Consider the following 18,732-nt stretch of genomic DNA (forward strand, 5'->3'; position numbering starts at 1 on the left):
CTGGCTGAGCCAGATAGCCGGTCTGTGTGGTATCAGCTGATCCATAGAGTACAGGGTCTTGCAGAATAAATACCTCAAGCACTGATCTTCGGATTACAATGGTGATGTTATCCCCAGGAGCAATTTCGGGAGGTTTGGACAGCCAGAGGCTGGATGACCTTTAAATCAAAATTTCTTTTTTTTTTTTTCAAAGAAGCCCCATTTTATTACAGAGAGCATACAAAGCCGTTTCCTCATAAGGAAAAGTACAGCTTCCCTTCTCCAGGGTGACAGATGAGCCTTTTCTGAAGTTCTCAGCTTTCTCTTCTATCGATATTTCCCATGTCAGTTAAAGTGTTTGTAGAGACAGCTGATGCGTTTATTGAGGTTGTGCAGCTCATCAGCAAACATTCTGTTTCCAACCATTTTCTTCTTTAGCATACAGCGTTGCAATTCATTCCCCTTCCAATCTCGAAGCCATATGGGGTCCCTGATCAGCTTTTGGGGTGCTTTTCAAAGTTTCCCAGGATCCTGATGTTGTCATACACTCTGAACATGGCCATCCTTTCGTTCCAAGGATCAACTACTTTGGGGGGTAGGAGCCTTATACCAATCAATCTAGGAATACCAAGAAAGAAGCTTCTGCATGCCACACCTAGTCCCACAGGCGCCTACCTGCCCTACATAAGAGGCTCCCTGCCATTTCTCTAGTCTGCCCCTTCAACAGCACACCAAATAAGCCCAAGAATGAGGACCAGATGTGGCCTTCAAGAAGACAACAGGAACCGTCCCTGTCGACTTCACACGGGTACTAACGTGAAGGCAGCCACCTTGGGCCTTAAAATTTCTAATCTTGTAGCTAATTTGTTACTCCTACAAAGGCAGACTGGTTCCTAGGCAAGAAGGGGATCTTTCTGGGAAATGGCTATTATCAATTTTGTTTCAGAGTCAAACTATAAGCTAAATTCCTTCCCAAGGTTAGTTGGCCTGTGCCCAGGCATGAACAAAGACAGCCTAAAGGTTAGAAGCAAGATGGAGTCAGGTAGGTCTGATCTCTTTCACTGTCATCATTTCCTCAGTTGTAATTTTTGCAGAGGCAGTTTCACTTTCATCTTTCTCCTGTGCTGGATGCCTCCTCCGTTCCCCCTGCCCTTGGACATCAGACTCCAGGTTCTTTGGCCTTTGGACTCTTGGACTTAAGCCAGTGGTTTGCTTGGGACTCTCGGGCCTTCAGCCACAGATTGAAGCCTGCACTGTTGGCTTCCCTACTTTTGAGGCTTTTGGACTCCGACTGAGCCACTCCTGGCTTCCTTCTTCTGCAGCTTGCAGACGGTGTATCATGGGACTTCACCCTGTGATGGTGTGAACTAGTTCTCCCTAATATACTCCCTTTCATATATATGTCTATTCTGTTAGTTCTGCCCCTCTGGAGAACCCTAACTAATGCAGACCCTTGTGTAACTTTGATATCCAAAATATGGCTTTCTAGCATTTAGCTGGCTATTTTGAAACTCTTTGTAAAAAAAATTTATATATATGAAGGAAATCTCCATTTGTAAGGGTGTCTCCCTCCCTGCACCCAAACTGCTAGAAACTGAAGATGGGGAAGACATTGGCTGAAGACACTGTCTTACAGTTTACATCACAGACCTTGCCTTCGGTGGAAATACTTTTCCTGGCAACCTCGTCTTCACTAGGTGTAGGGACCAGCCCCACAGGATCGGTGGGTTTTTCTCCCCATGTGCAGAGACGAGAGATTGTAGAAATAAAGACACAAGACAAAGAGATAAAAGGAAAGACAGGTGGGCCTGGGGGACCACTAACACCAAGATGCGGAGACCGGTAATGGCCCCGAATGTCTGGCTGCGTTGTTATTTATTGGATACAAAGCAAAAGGGGCAGGGTAAAGAGTGTGAGTCATCTCCAATGATAGGTAGGGTCACGTGGGTCACGTGTCCACTGGACAGGGGGCCCTTCCCTGCCTGGCAGCCAAGGCAGAGAGGGGGAGAGAGAGAGACAGCTTGCGCCATTATTTCTGCATATCAGAGACTTTTAGTACTTTCACTAATTTGCTACTGCTATCTAGAAGGCAGAGCCAGGTGTACAGGATGGAACACGAAGGCGGACTAGGAGTGTGACCACTGAAGCACAGCGTCACAGGGAGATGGTATGCCTTCGGATAACTGAAGGTGGGCCTGAGGCCCTCCACAAGAGATGGAGGAGTAGAGTCTTCTCTGAACTCCCGTGGGGAAAGGGAGACTCCCTTTCCCGGTCTGCTAAGTAGCCGGTGTTTTTCCTTGACACTGACGCTACTGCTAGACCATGGTCCGCTTGACAACAGGCGTCTTCCCAGACGCTGGCGTTACCGCTAGACCAAGGAGCCCTCTGGTGGCCCTGTCCGGGCATAACAGAAGGCTCGCATGCTTGTCTTCTGGTCACTTCTCACTATGTCCCCTCAGCTCCTGTGTCTGTATGGCCTGGTTTTTCCTAGGTTATGATTGTAGAGCGAGGATTATTGTAATATTGGAATAAAGAGTAATTGCTACAAACTAATGATTAATGATTTTCATATATAATCATGTCTATGATCTAGATCTAGTATAACTCTTGTTGTTTTATATATTTTATTATACTGGAAAAGCTCGTGCCCTCGGTCTCTTGCCTCGGCACGTAGGTGGTTTGCCGCCCACAACTAGGCTTTTACCTACACCCTTCTTCCTTGGTTTGAATTCAGCTCTGTGCTTTTGAGATGTGAATTTTTTCTACTTTGTTTCACCTCAGTCATCCCTTTAGAAGTGCCAATTTAGTGTTGCCTAGCTAACAGTTGCTTAGGGATCATGTAAAAGGGGGAAATAAAAACTATTTGAGAGCATAATCAGGTTAAGTATTAATGCTAAAACTTACTTTACAAGTTAGTTGGTCTTGCTAAGATTTCTCTTTGGTAGAAATGGGGAATTGGAGAGAAGATTCTTTATAAAAACTATAAGATCTGCTTCTGTCTGTATGTCTATATGTTTATATGTGTCATGTGTATGTGATATTTCACTACCAAAATATATGAAAAAGCTATAATTAATTGGCTTAAAGAAGGGACTGCTTGGCTGGGTGCAGTGGCTCACACCTGTAATCCCAGCACTTTGGGAGGCGAAGGTGGGTGGATCATGAGGTCAGGAGATCGAGATCATCCTGGCTAACATGGCGAAACCCCATCTCTACTAAAAATACAAAGAAAAATTAGCCAGGCGTGGTGGCAGGCGCCTGTAGTCCCAGCTACTCAGGAGACTGAGGCAGGAGAATGGCATGAACCTGGGAGGCGGAGCTTGCAGTGAGCCAAGATCGCGCTACTGCACTCCAGCCTGGGTGACAGAGGGAGACTGAGTCTAAAAAAAAAAGCACAGTGATGCTAGGCCAGAGTCTGGGCCCCTGTGTCTGAACAGTAGGTTTTCTTGGAGTATTGGTGTGCTCTTTAATAGAAAATTGTAAGAGTTGGGCCGGGCATGGTTGTTCATCCTTGTAATTCTAGCACTTTGAGGCCATGAGATTGAGACCAGCCTGGGTAGGATAGTGAGACCCTATCACTGTTATTTTAAAAATTAGGAAAAAGAAAATTGTAAGAGTTTATAAAAGGTTTTTGGGAATCTTACTTTGTATGGTCAAAGCTGCCTGAGAATGGACGATTGATAATACACTAATATAAAAGTTAAATCTTGTTTTCTCTGTTGAATAAGAATTTCATGTTGTGTTAAGAAGAGATAGTAAGCTGGGTGTGGTGGCTTATGCCTGTAATCCCAGCACACTGGGAGGCCAAGGTGGGTGGATCACTTGAGGTCAGCAGTTCAAGACCAGCATGACCAACATGGTGAAACCCTGTCTCTACTAAAAATACAAAAATTAGCCAGGTGTGGTGGTATATGCCTGTAATCTCAGCTACTTGGGAGGCTGAGGCAGGAAAATCGCTTGAACTCGGGAGGTGGAGGTTGCAGTGAGCTGAAATTGTGCCACTGCACTCCAATCTGGGCAACAGAGCGAGACTCTATCTAAAAAAAAAAAAGTAAAAGATTTGTTTACCTTTTGAATAAACTGCAAAAAAAGGGGGCTGGGAGAATTTGCCTCATGCTATCTTTATTATGTCTCTTGATTGGGAACTGAGTCTCTGCTCTATTTTAGAGTAAAAGAGTTGCTCTTTGAAATCTTTATTTATTTTTTTTATTATACTTTAAGTTCTAGGGTACATGTGCACAATGTGCAGATTTGTTACATATGTATACATGTGCCATGTTGGTGTGCTGCACCCATTAACTCGTCATTTACATTAGGTATATCTCCTAATGCTATCCCTCCCCACTCCCCTCACCCCACAACAGGCCCCGGTGTGTGATGTTCCCCTTCCTGTGTCCAAGTGTTCTCATTGTTCAATTCCCCCCTATGAGTGAGAACATGCGGTGTTTGGTTTTTTGTCCTTGCGATAGTTTGCTGAGAATGATGGTTTCCAGCTTCATCCATGTCCCTACAAAGGACATGAACTCATCCTTTTTTATGGCTGCATAGTATTCCATGGTATATATGTGCCACATTTTCTTAATCCAGTCTATCATTGATTGACATTTAGACACAAGTCTTTGCTATTGTGAATAGTGCCGCAATAAACATGCGTGTGCATGTGTCTTTATAGCAGCCTGATTTATAATCCTTTGGGTATATACCCAGTAATGAGATGGCTGGGTCAAATGGTATTTCTAGTTCTAGATCCTTGAGGAATCACCACACTGACTTCTACAATGGTTGAACTAGTTTACAGTTCCACCAACAGTGTAAAAGTGTTCCTATTTCTCCACATCCTCTCCAGCACCTGTTGTTTCCTGACTTTTTAATGATCGCCATTCTAACTGGTGTGAGATGGTATCTCATTATGGTTTTGATTTGCATTTCTCTGATGGCCAGTGATGATAAGCATTTTTTCATGTGTCTGTTGGCTGCATAAATGTCTTCTTTTGAGAAGTGTCTGTTCATATCCTTTGCCCACTTTTTGATGGGGTTGTTTGTTTTTTTCTTGTAAGTTTGTTTGAGTTCTTTGTAGATTCTGGATATTAGCCCTTTGTCAGATGAGTAGATTGCAAAAATTTTCTCCCATTCTGTAGGTTGCCTGTTCACTCTGATGGTAGTCTCTTTTGCTGTGCAGAAGCTCTTTAGTTTAATTAGATCCCATTTGTCAATTTTGGCTTTTGTTGCCATTGCTTTTGGTGTTTTAGACATGAAGTCCTTGCCCATGCCTATGTCCTGAATGGTATTGCCTAGGTTTTCTTCTAGGGTTTTTATGGTTTTAGGTCTAACATTTAAGTCTTTAATCCATCTCGAATTAATTTTTGTATAAGGTGTAAGGAAGGGATCCAGTTTCAGCTTTCTACATATGGCTAGCCAGTTTTCCCAGCACCATTTATTAAATAGGGAATCCTTTCCCCATTTCTTGTTTTTGTCAGGTTTGTCAAAGATCAGATGGTTGTAGATGTGTGGTATTGTTTCTGAGGGCTCTGTTCTATTCCATTTGTCTATATCTCTGTTTTGGTACCAGTACCATGCTGTTTTGGTTACTGTAGCCTTGTAGTATAGTTTGAAGTCAGGTAGTGTGATGCCTCCAGCTTTGTTCTTTTGGCTTAGGATTGTCTTGGCAATGTGGGTTCTTTTTTGGTTCCATATAAACTTTAAAGTAGTTTTTTCCAATTCTGTGAAGAAAGTCATTGGTAGCTTGATGGGGATGGCATTGAATCTATAAATTACCTTGGGCAGTATGGCCATTTTCACGATATTGATTCTTCCTATGCATGAGCATGGAATGTTCTTCCATTTGTTTGTGTCCTCTTTTATTTCTTTGAGCAGTGGTTTGTAGTTCTCCTTGAAGAGGTCCTTCACATCTCTTGTAAGTTGGATTCCTAGGTATTTTATTCTCTTTGAAGCAATTGTGAATGGGAGTTCACTCATGATTTGGCTCTCTGTCTGTTATTGGTGTACAAGAATGCTTGTGATTTTTGCACATTGATTTTGTATCCTGAGACTTTGCTGAAGTTGCTTATCAGCTTAAGGAGATTTTGGGCTGAGACAATGGGGTTTTCTAAATATACAATCATGCCATCTGCAAACAGGGACAATTTGACTTCCTCTTTTCCTAATTGAATACCCTTTATTTCCTTCTCCTGCCTAATTGCCTTGGCCAGAACTTCCAACACTACATTGAATAGGAGTGGTGAGAGAGGGCATCCCTGTCTTGTGCCGGTTTTCAAAGGGAATGCTTCCAGTTTTTGCCCATTCAGTATGGTATTGGCTGTGGGTTTGTCATAAATAGCTCTTATTATTTTGAGATATGTCCCATCAATACCTAATTTATTGAGAGTTTTTAGCATGAAGGGCTGTTGAATTTTGTCAAGGCCTTTTCTGCATCTATTGAGATAATCATGTGGTTTTCGTCTTTAGTTCTGTTTATATGCTGATTTAATATATAATGTTAAATCAATAAACATTATATGTTTATTGATTTGCGTATATTGAACCAGCCTTGCATCCCAGGGATGAAGCCCACTTAATCATGGTGGATAAGCTTTTTGATGTGCTGCTGGATTCGGTTTGGCAGTATTTTACTGAGGATTTTTGCATCAGTGTTCATCAGGGATATTAGTCTAAAATTCTCTTTTTTTGTTGTGTCTCTGCCAGCCTTTGGTATCAGGATGATGCTGGCCTCATAAAATGAGTTAGGGAGGACTCCCTCTTTTTCTGTTGATTGGAATAGTTTCAGAAGGAATGGTACCAGCTCCTCCTTGTACCTCTGGTAGCATTCAGCTGGGACTACAGGTGCCCACCACCACATCCGGCTAATTTTTGTATTTTTAGTAGAGACGGGGTTTCACCACGTTGGCCAGGCTGGCCTCAAACTCCTGACCTCAGGTGATCTACCAGCCTCGACCTCCCAAAGTGCTGGGATTACAGGTGTGAGCCACCATGCCAGGCCGTAAACCACTTTTCGAAAAGAATCAAAGTAAAACAGTAATTGTCTACGGATGACAAAAGACTTATAGTAGCCATAGTTAAAGATGCCTGTGACAAGGAAAATTGGTTATTTCTGTGGCATCTAACAATGTAACATCATAATCATAATTATGACTGATAACATATACCAGGACATATCAAAATTTTAGAAATCTCATATGATTTTGGAACAAATATTAATCACACATTTATACTTGTGTGATACACATATAACTCAAAGAAAGTTAAACGCTATTGTTTATTTGACAATGCTTCCTGTATGATTCTAACATACCGAGTAAGCCTACTATTTGGATTTCCAGGAGTTTCTATTTGTTATGTCCAGGTTATGTCCACATTAGTTCAGGTCAAAAAGACTTAATTTTAGAATTTGAAATTTGATTTTTGGCTGGGTACAGTGGCTCACACTGGTAATCCCAGCACATTGGGAAGCCAAGGAAGGCAGATCGCTTGAGCCCAGGAGTTCAAGATCAGCCTGGACAATATGATCAAGCCTCATCTCTAAAAAAAGAATTTAAAAATTAAGCTGAGTGTGGTGGCGTGCATCTGTAGTCTCAGCTGCTCTAGAGGCTGAGGTGGGAGTACTGCTTGAGCCCAGGAGGGAGAGGTTACAGTGAGCCATGACTGTGCCACTCCAGCCTGAGTAAAAGAGTGAGACCCTATCTCAAAAAACAAAAAAAAAATTGATTTTGGGAAGTATGTCAAATATCAAAGGTTTAAAACATTTGATATCAAAATATGGCCAGACACAGTGGCTCACGCCTATAATCACAGCACTTTGGGAGGCCGAGGTGGGTGGATCACCTGAGGTCATGAGTTCAAGACCAGCCTGACCAACGTGGCAAAACCCTATCTCTACTAAAAATACAAAAATTACCCAGGTGTGATGGTGCACACCTGTAATCCCAGCTAGTTGGGTGGCTGAGGTAGGAGAATCATTTGAATCCAGGAGGCGGAGGTTGTAGTGAGCTGAGATCACACCACTACACTCCAGACTGGGTGACAGAGCGAGATTCCATCTAAAAAAAAAAAAAAAGGAAAAAAGAAAACATTTGATATCAAAATAGGATCACAGGTCTGTGTAAAATAAGTCATTCATTTAGCCAGAATGGGAGAGAGCAGTGGTTCTCCCAGCACGGAGTTTGAGATCTGAGAACGGACAGACTGCCTCCTCAAGTGGGTCCCTGACCCCCAAGTAGCCTAACTGGGAGGCACCCTCCAGAAGGGGCAGACTGACACCTCACATGGCCGGGTACCCCTCTGAGACGAAGCTTCCAGAGGAACGATCAGGCAGCAACATTTGCTGTTCAGCAATATTCACTGTTCTGCAGCCTCTGCTGCTGATACCCAGGCAAACAGGGTCTGGAGTGGACCTCCAGCAAACTCCAACAGACTTGCAGCTGAGGGTCCTGACTGTTAGAAGGAAAACTAACAAACAGAAAGGACATCCACACCAAAACCCCATCTGTACATCACCATCATCAAAGACCAAAGGTAGATAAAACCACAAAGATGGGGAAAAAACAGAGCAGAAAAGCTGAAGATTCTAAAAATCAGAGCGCCTCTCCCCCTCCAAAGGAATGCAGCTCCTCACCAGCAATGGAACAAAGCTGGACAGCACTAAATACCCACAAGAGAAAGCAGGAAAGTTCTAAAATTGACACCCTAACATCACAACTAAAAGAACTAGAGAAGCAAGAGCAAACACATTTAAAAGCTAGCAGAAGACAAGAAATAACTAAGATCAGAGCAGAACTGAAGGAGATAGAGACACAAAAAACCCTTCAAAAAATCAATGAATCCAGGAGCTGGTTTTTTGAATAGATCAACAAAATTGATAGACCGCTAGCAAGACTAATAAAGAAGAAAAGAGAGAAGAATCAGATAGACGCAATAAAAGATGATAAAGGGGATATCACCACCAATCCCACAGAAATACAAACTACCATCAGAGAATACTATGAACACCTCTACACAATAAAACTAGAAAATCTAGAAGAAATAGATAAATTCCTGGACACATACACCCTCCCAAGACTACACCAGGAAGAAGTTGAATCCCTGAATAGACCAATAACAGGCTCTGAAATTGAGGCAATAATTAATAGTCTACCAACCAAAAAAAGTCCAGGACCAGATGGATTCACAGCTGTGGTCCCAGCTACTTGGGAGGCTGAGGCAGGAGAATCGCTTGAACCCTGGAGGTGGAGATTGCAGTGAGCTGAGATCACACTGCTGCACTCCAGCCTGGGAAACAGAGGGAGACTCTATCTCAAAAAAAAAAAAAAAAAGAAAAGAAAAAAGAAAAGAAAAAAAGTGGTTTACAATCAGCTGCAGTCCAAAGTTTATCTTTTCTTCAAGGAAATTCATGGAAAGGACACTGAGAAGTACTCTTGAATACAGGTTTCTAATAAACTTAGAGATCATACCATTGGACTAGGTAAAAACTTCCACAACACTAATGAAAAACTGATGCATTCATGAAGATTTCTAATCCAGCATCAGGCATTACAATAATTAATTACACCGGACTGAAATTATTTTTATGACTTTTTTGTTGGAACATTGCTAACTCTTTTTGTTTTGTTTTCGAGAGTTAAGAAAACTTTTGTTTTTTTTTTTTTTGAGATGGAGTTTCGCTCTTGTTGCCCAGGCTGTAGTGCAGTGGTGCAATCTCGGCTCACTGCAACCTCCGCCTCCCGGGTTCAAGCGATTCTTCTGCCTCAGCCTCCTGAATAGCTGGGATTATAGGTGTGCGCCACCATGCCTTTAGTAGAGACGGGGTTTCACCATGTTGGCCAGGCTGGTCTCGAACTCCTGACATCAAGTGATCCACCCTCCTTGGCCTCCCAAAGTGCTGGGATTACAGGCGTGAGCCACAGTACCTGGCCAAAAACTTTAAAAAAAAAAATCTGTTTAGAGCTTATAGCAATTGGGTAAAATATATTTTTGTGAGCAAAATTGAAGCATTTATCTTTCTACCTGATTTCTCCAGAATTCAGAAACTATGAATGAGTATTCTTATTTTATTGTAATATAATTATTTGCATAATTTTAGTAAAAAATTTTTTTCCTTTGTTAACAGAACACAATTGAAGGCACTGGTTATTCTAGCAAGGCTTTGACTGGAATGGCATATTTTCAGATATGACCAGACTGCTCTGAGGAATTCAGGTTGGCTTTATAGAGTCAATAAAAAGCTACCTGGAAAGAGTGGCCATGTACCTTATCTATACAGTTCCCTTACAAGGTTCCTGATCTTGAGGTAAGTAAATAATGTCCCTTTCTGACAGGCCCAGGAACCTCAAATATTTTGGGGCCTTGAGAAAAGAGGAACTCACCCAGTTCATGCAGGTGTTACAGGCACAATCTGAAGATGAATCTTTGGCTTTTTAAAGCCTCAGATTAAAAAGTCTAATCTGAAATTCTCTATGAAAATTCCTTCAAAGCCAACTTGAAAAGAACCTTTATGATCAGTCATTATTCTTGTTCCACTTTATGCAAATAATGAAGCTGAATATAATGCTAAAACTTATTTTACAAGTAACTTGGTCCCACTAAGATTTATCTTTGGTAGAAATGGGGAATCTGAGAGAGAAAAATTATGTTTCAGAAGAAAACGATTTTATACCTATTGATAGATTCCAGCCCTGATGATTGTTTCTGAGTTTTTGTTATTTTCCTGCAATCCTTAATTATTTCCTGGCTACAACAAGTCTTTAAAGAAGGTCTGGGTTTTAATTTTCTTTATGATGTTTTTAGTTCACTCATAAATTGAATTGTTTTCTTCTGTTCTGGCATACACATTTCTTTCTGATTATAATTCTTATGTGTATTATATTTCTACTATGTATCTCTCTCTCTCTCTCTTTTTTTTTTTTTTTTTGAGATGGAGTTTCACTCTTGTTGCCCAGGCTGGAGTGCAATGGCTTGATCTTAGCTCACTGCAATCTCTGCCTCCTGGGTTCAAGTGATTCTCCTGCCTCAGCCTCCAGAGTAGCTGGGATTACAGGTGCTTGCCACCATGCCCGGCTAATTTTTTGTATTTTTAGTAGAGACGGGGTTTCACCATGTTGGCCAGGCTGGTCTCAAACTCCTGACCTCAAGTGATCCACCTGCCTCAGCCTCCCAAAGTGCCGGGATTGCAGGCATGAGCCACCACGCCCAGCTGTATCTCTCATTGTTTTAGTTCCCCTAAGAAAACCAAATTCATGGTATTCTGAAGACTAGAGATGATTCAACAGGCAACAGCAGTTATATAAATTGATGACTTGGCTGAGGTCTCATTTTTGCCACCCTGTGATGCCATCCCAATTTGGCTTTTGGCTTTCTTCAGATTCCTCACTGAGAGGTATCCTTCCCTGATATAATTTGGATATTTGTCCTCACCCAAATCTGATATTGAAATATAATCCCCAACATTGGAGGTGGGGCCTGGTGGAGGTGGTTGGCTCACGGTGGTGGATTTCTCACGAATGGCTTAGCACCCTCCCTTTGGTGCTGTCCTCGTGATAGTGAGTTCTCATGAGATCTGGTCTTTTAAAAGTGTGTGGCACCTCACCTGCCACTCTCTCCCTCTTTCTCTCTTGTTCCTGCTTTCCCTTTGTGACATGCCCACTCTCCCTTTACCTTTTGCCCTGATTGTCAGCTTCCTAAGGCCTTCCTAGAAGCTGAACAGATGCCAGCACCATACTTCCTGTAAAGCCTGCAGAACCATGTGCCAATTAAACCTCTTTTCTTATATATTACCCAATCTCAGGTATTTCTTATTTTTATTTATTTATTTATTTACTTATTTATTTATTTTCATGCAAGATAGGTTCTTACTCTGTCACCCAGGCTAGAGTACAGTGGCATGATCATGGCTCACGGCAGCCTTCTCCTCCCGAGGCTCAGGTGATTCTCCCACCTCAGCCTCCCGAGTGACTGAGACTACAGGCATGTACCACCATGCCTGGCTAATTTTTTTTGAATTTTTAGTAAAGGTGAGGTTTTGTCATGCTGCCCAGGCTGGTCTCAAACTCCTGGGCTCAAGCCATCTGCCCACCTCGGCCTCCCAAAGTGTTGTGATTACAGGCGCGAGCCAGTGCAGCCAGCTGGTTATTTCTCTATAGCAATGCAAGAATGGCTTAATACATCTCCCCTCCCCTACATGGGACAAGGCCATCTGATAATTAACCTTCCTAGCAACTCAGGACTAAGCTCCTGAACATAAAGGGAGCCAAAACAATTTGCATTTTTCTATGAGGCCTTCTTTGAAAGGTCTTGATGAAAAGGGGAGAAATGGGGAAAAAAATAGCACAGAGCAGTCTGAGCTATGTGAGGTGTGCCAAAGTTATCAGGCCCAGAGAGACAGGAGAGTGGGGCTTTTTGTTTTGTTTTTGTTTGAGACAACATAGTGAGAGCCTGTCTTTATAAAAAATTTTAAAAAATTATCCAAGCATAAGGGCATGTGCCTGTGGTCCCAGCTACTGAGGCAGGCTGAGGAGAGAGGATTGCTTGAATCTGGGAGGTTGAGGCTGCAGTAAGCTGTGATCACACCACTGCACTCCAGACTGGGTGACAGAGTGAGACCCTGTCTCAAAAAAAAAAAAAAAAAAGAACCCACTGCTGCTAATTGGAGCATCTATTCAGGGGAACTTGAATCTAGGCTCCCAGGTGGCCATCCTTAAGCTTTGGGCTTGAATAAACTTTGTACTTAATCATAGTTTCTAAATCTCATTATTTAAAGTCGAGAATTCATTCCTCCCTTCATCTGTTCATTCATATGTCTGTCCTTTCACCCACCAATCCGCTCATCTAGCCATCCACCCATTTGTCTGTTAGTCCGTCCATCCATCCATCCATCCATCCACTCACCCAGACATCCATCCATCCATCCATCTGTCCTTTCACCCACCCATTTATTCATCCATTCATCCATCCATCTATCCATCCCACTGAGTCATTCATCCATCTATCCATCCATCCATCTGTCCGTCCATCCATCTTATATTTTGGGGGGCATGTCTGATGTGTCAGATACTGTGGCAGGTGCACAGACACAAATTCGGAAGACAGATCTCCACTTAGAAGTGTGCCAGGCACCTCAGCTCAACATATCTCCAGCTGACTTCATTTTATCCTTCTCCTCCCATCTCTTGACGTTCTGTTCAAGCATTTAGTAAATGCCAGTCATCTATAGCCTGAGCCCACCTGGGTTGCCCTAAGTTGTCTGATTCACATCCATTCTAATTCCTTGGCTTCTCTCAACCATGTCTGCTCCTTTTCCTCCTCTTGGCCATTCCTGAGTGTACCTGGATCACTACAGCAGTATCTATGCTGTTTCCTCCTTTTCTAGGTGACCATTTGTCCTTCTGCCAGAGGGCTCTGTGGGAAATACAGATTCGATCCTGCTGTTTCTTACTGGGAACCCTCCATGGCTCCCAGTCCCTGGAATGTGCCGGGCAACTTTCAGCTCTTGGTCGTGGGAGCCTCCTGCCTGTGCACAGTGTGTTCTTCCAGGACCCATGCCCACTCCCTCCTTCCCAGCATTCCAGTTTGGCCCTTGAGGCCTCCTTGGAGTCATCCCCCTCCCAGATGTGCAATGCATTTTGGGTTCTCAACAGCTTCCCCTCCTTACCTGCAAAGGTTGAACAGACCTGGATCTGCTATCCTGCTTTGCCACTTCCTGCTGCATGACCTGCATTATGAAGTTCTCTAGACTCAGGGTTTCCATTGGCTAATAGGATCAGCCAACCTGCCTTTGAGGAGTGGACGAAGCTTGGCACTTAGTAGGTGCCCATGAGGCATCAGAAACTGCCCTTGTTGAATGATGCTCTAATGCGGTGTTGACATCTCTGTCCTACTAGACTGGGGTTGCTTTGAGGACTCCAATTCTGTCTTTTCATCCTGATTCCATGATGGAACAGACCCACAGGCCCTTGTCAGCATTCCAAAAAGCAAAAAGCTGTGAAAATGAAAAGGACTTTTTTTTTTTTTCTGTAAACTTGGTGCCAAAATTTGCAAAAGCTGACCTGACCCAAGGTGTTGGCAGCATCCCAACACTCCCTCTGTTACAGGCACCTCTGCTGGTTGCTGACAATGTATATGTTTTAATTTTTAAAATGCATTTGTCTTTTTGTGACCATGGGTTTAATTGCACTGTGAATTCATACAAAAAGGGTAGCATGTACCCAGTGCTCACTGTGGGAAGGACACATGGAAACACTCTCTTTGTCAATAGTGCAGAAAGCATCAGTGATGTTGGGAAGCCATCAAAAGACAAGCAGTTGGGCTGTGCGTGGTGGCTCATGCTTATAATCCTAGCACTTTGGGAGGCTGAGGTGGGAGGATTGCTTGAGGTCAAGAGTTCAAGACCAACCTGGCCAACATAGCAAGATCCCCTCTCTATTAAAAAAAAGACAAACAGTTGAAAATTTATAATAATTGTGATTACCAAGAGCCATTGAAATATGGAAAACACAGGGTCAGTGGGGTGTGGTGTAGGGAGAGAGATCTTGACCAGGAACGGATGGAACGGAATTGGCAATGAAGTAGTCACTGTATGCCAAGGAGTGGTTTGTTGGTTATGAAAGAAGCTGGAATACAGCAGGAAGAACTGAACTTTAAAGGTGAGCATGAATATTCAAGAAGTGTCATGGTGTAAAACAATCTGCATAGCTGTGGTGGAAAGGCTTCTTTCCTGATCAGGAAACAGCTGAAAATTACATTGATGGATTTGTATCCTCTGAAAACCTTAGTCTCAACCAGGCGCGGTGGCTCACGCCTGCGATCCCGGCACTTTGGGAGTCCAAGGCAAGTGGATTGCTTGAGCCCAGGAATTTGAGACCAGTCTGGCCAACGTGGCAAAACCCCATCTCTGCAAAAAATACAGAAATTAGCCAAGCATGGTGGTGCATGCCTGTAGTCCCAGCTACTCTGGAGGCTGAGGTAGGAGGATCACTGAGCCCAGGGAGGTTGAGGCTGCAGTGAGCCAAGATGGTGCCACTGCACTTCAGCCTGGGTGACAGAGAGAGACCCTGTCTGAAAGCCAAAAAACAACAAAACCTAAGTCAGAACAAGTTTGTGTAGCTGATGAGTCAGGCAGCTTCACCTGTGCTCCTTTCTAGACAGGCAGGATGGTTGCGGAGAGTCACAACAGGCGTCCAGGAGGAAAGGCACGAGATGATGCTGGCCAAAGCTAGTTGTGGTTGGAAAAAGCCACTGGTGTGAACGGTGTATGCTAGTATGCAAGGGAACATATACTGGGAACTCGAGCCATGTTTTCTGCATGGTTTAATAATCCTTTGTATCAGTGCCAGGAATTCACTGCAGATAAGCTGGTCTGGAAGAAAAACGAACATTTTGTTATTTCTGCACAGCTGCTCCACACATTCCTTTCCTGAAAGTCTTTTGAAAAGCAATGTTTCTGACATTTACTTTCCACGATTTGTGAAGGGAGTTTTACACTCCAATAAGAGTGAATATAAATGATTTTTTGGGGGGAAGGGGGAATCCTGCCATTAACAGAAAGCAGGGCTTCCTGACTAAGTTCACTCACAAGGCTGCCATTCACACAGTCACAAATGCTCGGACAGGATGGACAGTTCCACTAACGTGCGCTTGGTTGACTGTGTGAACCCCAACCATTTGAGACAGGCCTCAGTTAATTTAGAAAGTTTATTTTGCCAAGGTTGAGGACGTGTACCCGTGACATGGCCTCAGGAGGTCCTGACAACATGTGCCCAAGGTGGTCGGAGCACAGCTTGGTTTTAGACACTTTGGGGAGACCTGAGACATCAGTTAACACATGTAAGATGAACATTGGTTTGGTCCGGAAAGGTGGGACAACTCAAAGCAAAAGCGGAACTCAAAGCCGGAGGGGGCTTCCAGGTCATGGGTAGATAAGAGACAAGTGGTCGCATTCTTTTGAGCTTCTGATGAGCCCCTCCAAAGGAAGCAATCAGATATGCATTTATCTCAGTGAGCAGAGGGGTGACTTGCAGTAGAAAGGGAGGCAGGTTTGCTATAAGCAGCTCCCAGTTTGACTTTTCCCTTTAGCTTCGTGATTTTGGGGGCCCAAGAGATTTTCCTTTCACAACTGCACGAGCACTTTGACCTAAAACAATTCTTGAAACCGAACCTGGAGATAAAGCCCATCTATGGCAGAAGAAGGTGATAGCAAACCGCATTATTGACCCTCAAAGTTTATCAACCAAAAGTGGAGTCAGGAGAAAGTCACAGAGAAGAGATGCTGAACCTAGAAATGGGGCACCTATTGTGCCTGCCTCGCATGATGGAGAAATTGCTGGAATCGACTGAATACCAGTGACAATGGGAGGGGAAATGTCGGGGAGATGTGGACCCTGGGGAGTCCCCACAGACTATCTGGCAATATCTGTGGCCTGCTAACTGCTGGCTTCAAGGACATTTATCAGTGAGCAGGAGGACCCCTGAATTAGAGAGATGCTTAGGTGTGGCACTGGTGTTGTGGGAGGAAGTGCCGAGAAGCCCATTGACACGGTGCTGCCCCAGGACTTCAGAGACTCTTCAATCCATCCTCCATGCTGCCTCCAGCCCCATGACCTCAGCAATGTATCACTGCTGTGCTCCCTTTCCCAAGACCCCCAAGCAGCCAGATGTAGCCTGATTCATTACATGTATGCATACAGGTGTCAATCTAAAATAGTCAAAAGGGCCAGAATCTAGTTTAAGGAGAGTTTATTCAAGTGCAAGGTTTAAGTCCAGCCATCCAGGAAGCACAGATTCCAAAGAATGGAAGTCAGTGTTCTGAAGTATAGAAGTTTGGGACCATGTATATAGATAAAGTTTATGGAAGCTTACCAGAATTTCAACATCTTTAGGCTTTAATGCATAGTTACAATGGTCTGATTAGTCGAGGTGGTCTTTTTCTTTCAAGAAAGGTGTATTTGGCCAGGCACAGTGGCTCATGCCTGTAATCCTAGCACTTTGGGAGGCCAAGGTGGGCAGATCACCTGAGGGCAGGAGTTCAAGACCAGCATGGCTAACATGGTGAAACCCTGTCTCTACTAAAAATGCAAAAATTAGCTGGGCGTGGTGGCAGGCACCTATAACCCCAGCTACTCGGGAGGCTGAGGCAGGAGAATTGCTTGAACCCGGGAGGCGGAGGTTGCAGTGAGCCAAGATCACACCACTGCACTCCAGCCTGGACAACAGAGCCAGACTCTGTCTCAAAAAAAAAAAAAAAAGAAGAAGAAGAAGAAGAAAGGTGTATTTAATCTTCCCCACTGAAGATGCAACCGTCATGAGGTCTTTGCGCCATCTGATCTGAGTTGGGTACAGGACAATAAAGGAGGCAGCTAATCTGTAACAGAGATCAGTGATGGGAAGGAGGAGATCTGGTCTCTGGGAGACTGAGGCAGGAGGATTACTTGAGCTCAGGAGTTCTTTTTTTTTGAGACGAGTCTCGCTCTGTCACCCTGGCTGGAGTGCAATGGCGCGATCTTGGCTCAATGCAACCTCCACTTCCCAGGTTCAAGTGATTCTCTTCCCTCAGCCTCCTGAGGAGCTGGGATTACAGGTACTTGCCACCACGCCTGCCTAATTTTTGTATTTTTAGTAGAGACGGGGTTTCACCATGTTGGTCAGGCTGGTCTTGACCTCCTGACCTCAAGTGATCCACCCGCCTCAGCCTCCCAAAGTGCTGGGATTACAGGTGTGAGCCACTGTGCCCAGTCGAGCTCAGGAGTTCCAATCCAGCCTGAACAACACAGCAAGACCCTGTCTCAAAAAGAAAGAAATATGACAATATGACTTTGCAGCGTTTCAGAACATCAATAACTTTGCAGTTCTTCATGTTTCTCCTAGTCATGTCCAGAACAAGGACCCTGGGGAAGAGAGTTAAGCTGTAATCTAAGAAGCAGAATTTGCAAATATGCTACTGACTCAGTCTCCAGGGCTTAACATCCCCTTTGACATAATAAATTTAGAGGGTCCTGAAATTTTATTTGCTTTTAAACGACTTTTTTTCTTTCACAGACATTTGGCTTCACTTGAACCTGTGTTTGAAGCTTTAGTGAACATTGTCTTTGGGAGTAAGAAGTACTAGAAAATTTATGGTATGTGGTTATCTTGCTATTTCATGAACTACTGTATTACTATATAAATCAGCTGGAAGCAAGCTGTAATCCTGTTTATGGGATATTTGTTCCACTTACCATGATGAATTTGGCTGCAGAAATATCAGTATATTTGCCTTTGGAGTCCTGCCTCAGACCCCTGATGAGGGCTATGCAATCTATAGTACTTGCTTTTATTTGTTTATTCTGCTGTAAATGGTTTGTTTGAATTTTTTTTTTTTTTTTTTTTTTTTTTTGAGACGGAGTCTCGCTCTGTCGCCCAGGCCGGACTGCGGACTGCAGTGGCGCAATCTCGGCTCACTGCAAGCTCCGCTTCCCGGGTTCACGCCATTCTCCTGCCTCAGCCTCCCGAGTAGCTGGGACTACAGGCGCCCGCCACCGCGCCCGGCTAATTTTTTGTATTTTTAGTAGAGACGGGGTTTCACCTTGTTAGCCAGGATGGTCTCGATCTCCTGACCTCATGATCCACCCGCCTCGGCCTTCCTAAGTGCTGGGATTACAGGCGTGAGCCACCGCGCCCGGCCTGTTTGAATGTTTTGTTTGCGAAAATAGCCTTAATTTTCCCTTCACTGTTTCCATGCACCTTAGAAATAGGACTTCGTAGCCGGTTGTGGTC

The 18,732-nt window shown here is 43.8% G+C and overlaps 1 protein-coding gene, 1 long non-coding RNA gene and 1 pseudogene across 3 annotated transcripts in view, besides 1 other annotated feature; 1 reads left to right on the forward strand and 2 right to left on the reverse strand.

Annotated features, from left to right (window-relative positions):
* Positions 1-18,732, reverse strand: part of LOC102724701 (uncharacterized) — a 441,766-nt gene that overhangs the window by 277,742 nt on the left and 145,292 nt on the right. The gene's annotated exons all lie outside the window — the stretch shown is intronic.
* LOC102724652 (crystallin alpha A2) overlaps positions 1-18,732 on the forward strand; it is a 65,287-nt gene that overhangs the window by 7,505 nt on the left and 39,050 nt on the right. The gene's annotated exons all lie outside the window — the stretch shown is intronic.
* Positions 1-18,732: part of a sequence alteration artifact (region identified as an assembly artifact by the Genome Reference Consortium. This region falsely duplicates sequence located at GRCh38 chr21:43035651-43187643) that runs on past both edges of the window.
* Positions 96-682, reverse strand: LOC124904988 (39S ribosomal protein L51, mitochondrial-like; annotated as a pseudogene).

Source organism: Homo sapiens, chromosome 21, assembly GCF_000001405.40.
Source record: "Homo sapiens chromosome 21, GRCh38.p14 Primary Assembly".
Taxonomy (NCBI): domain Eukaryota; kingdom Metazoa; phylum Chordata; class Mammalia; order Primates; family Hominidae; genus Homo; species Homo sapiens.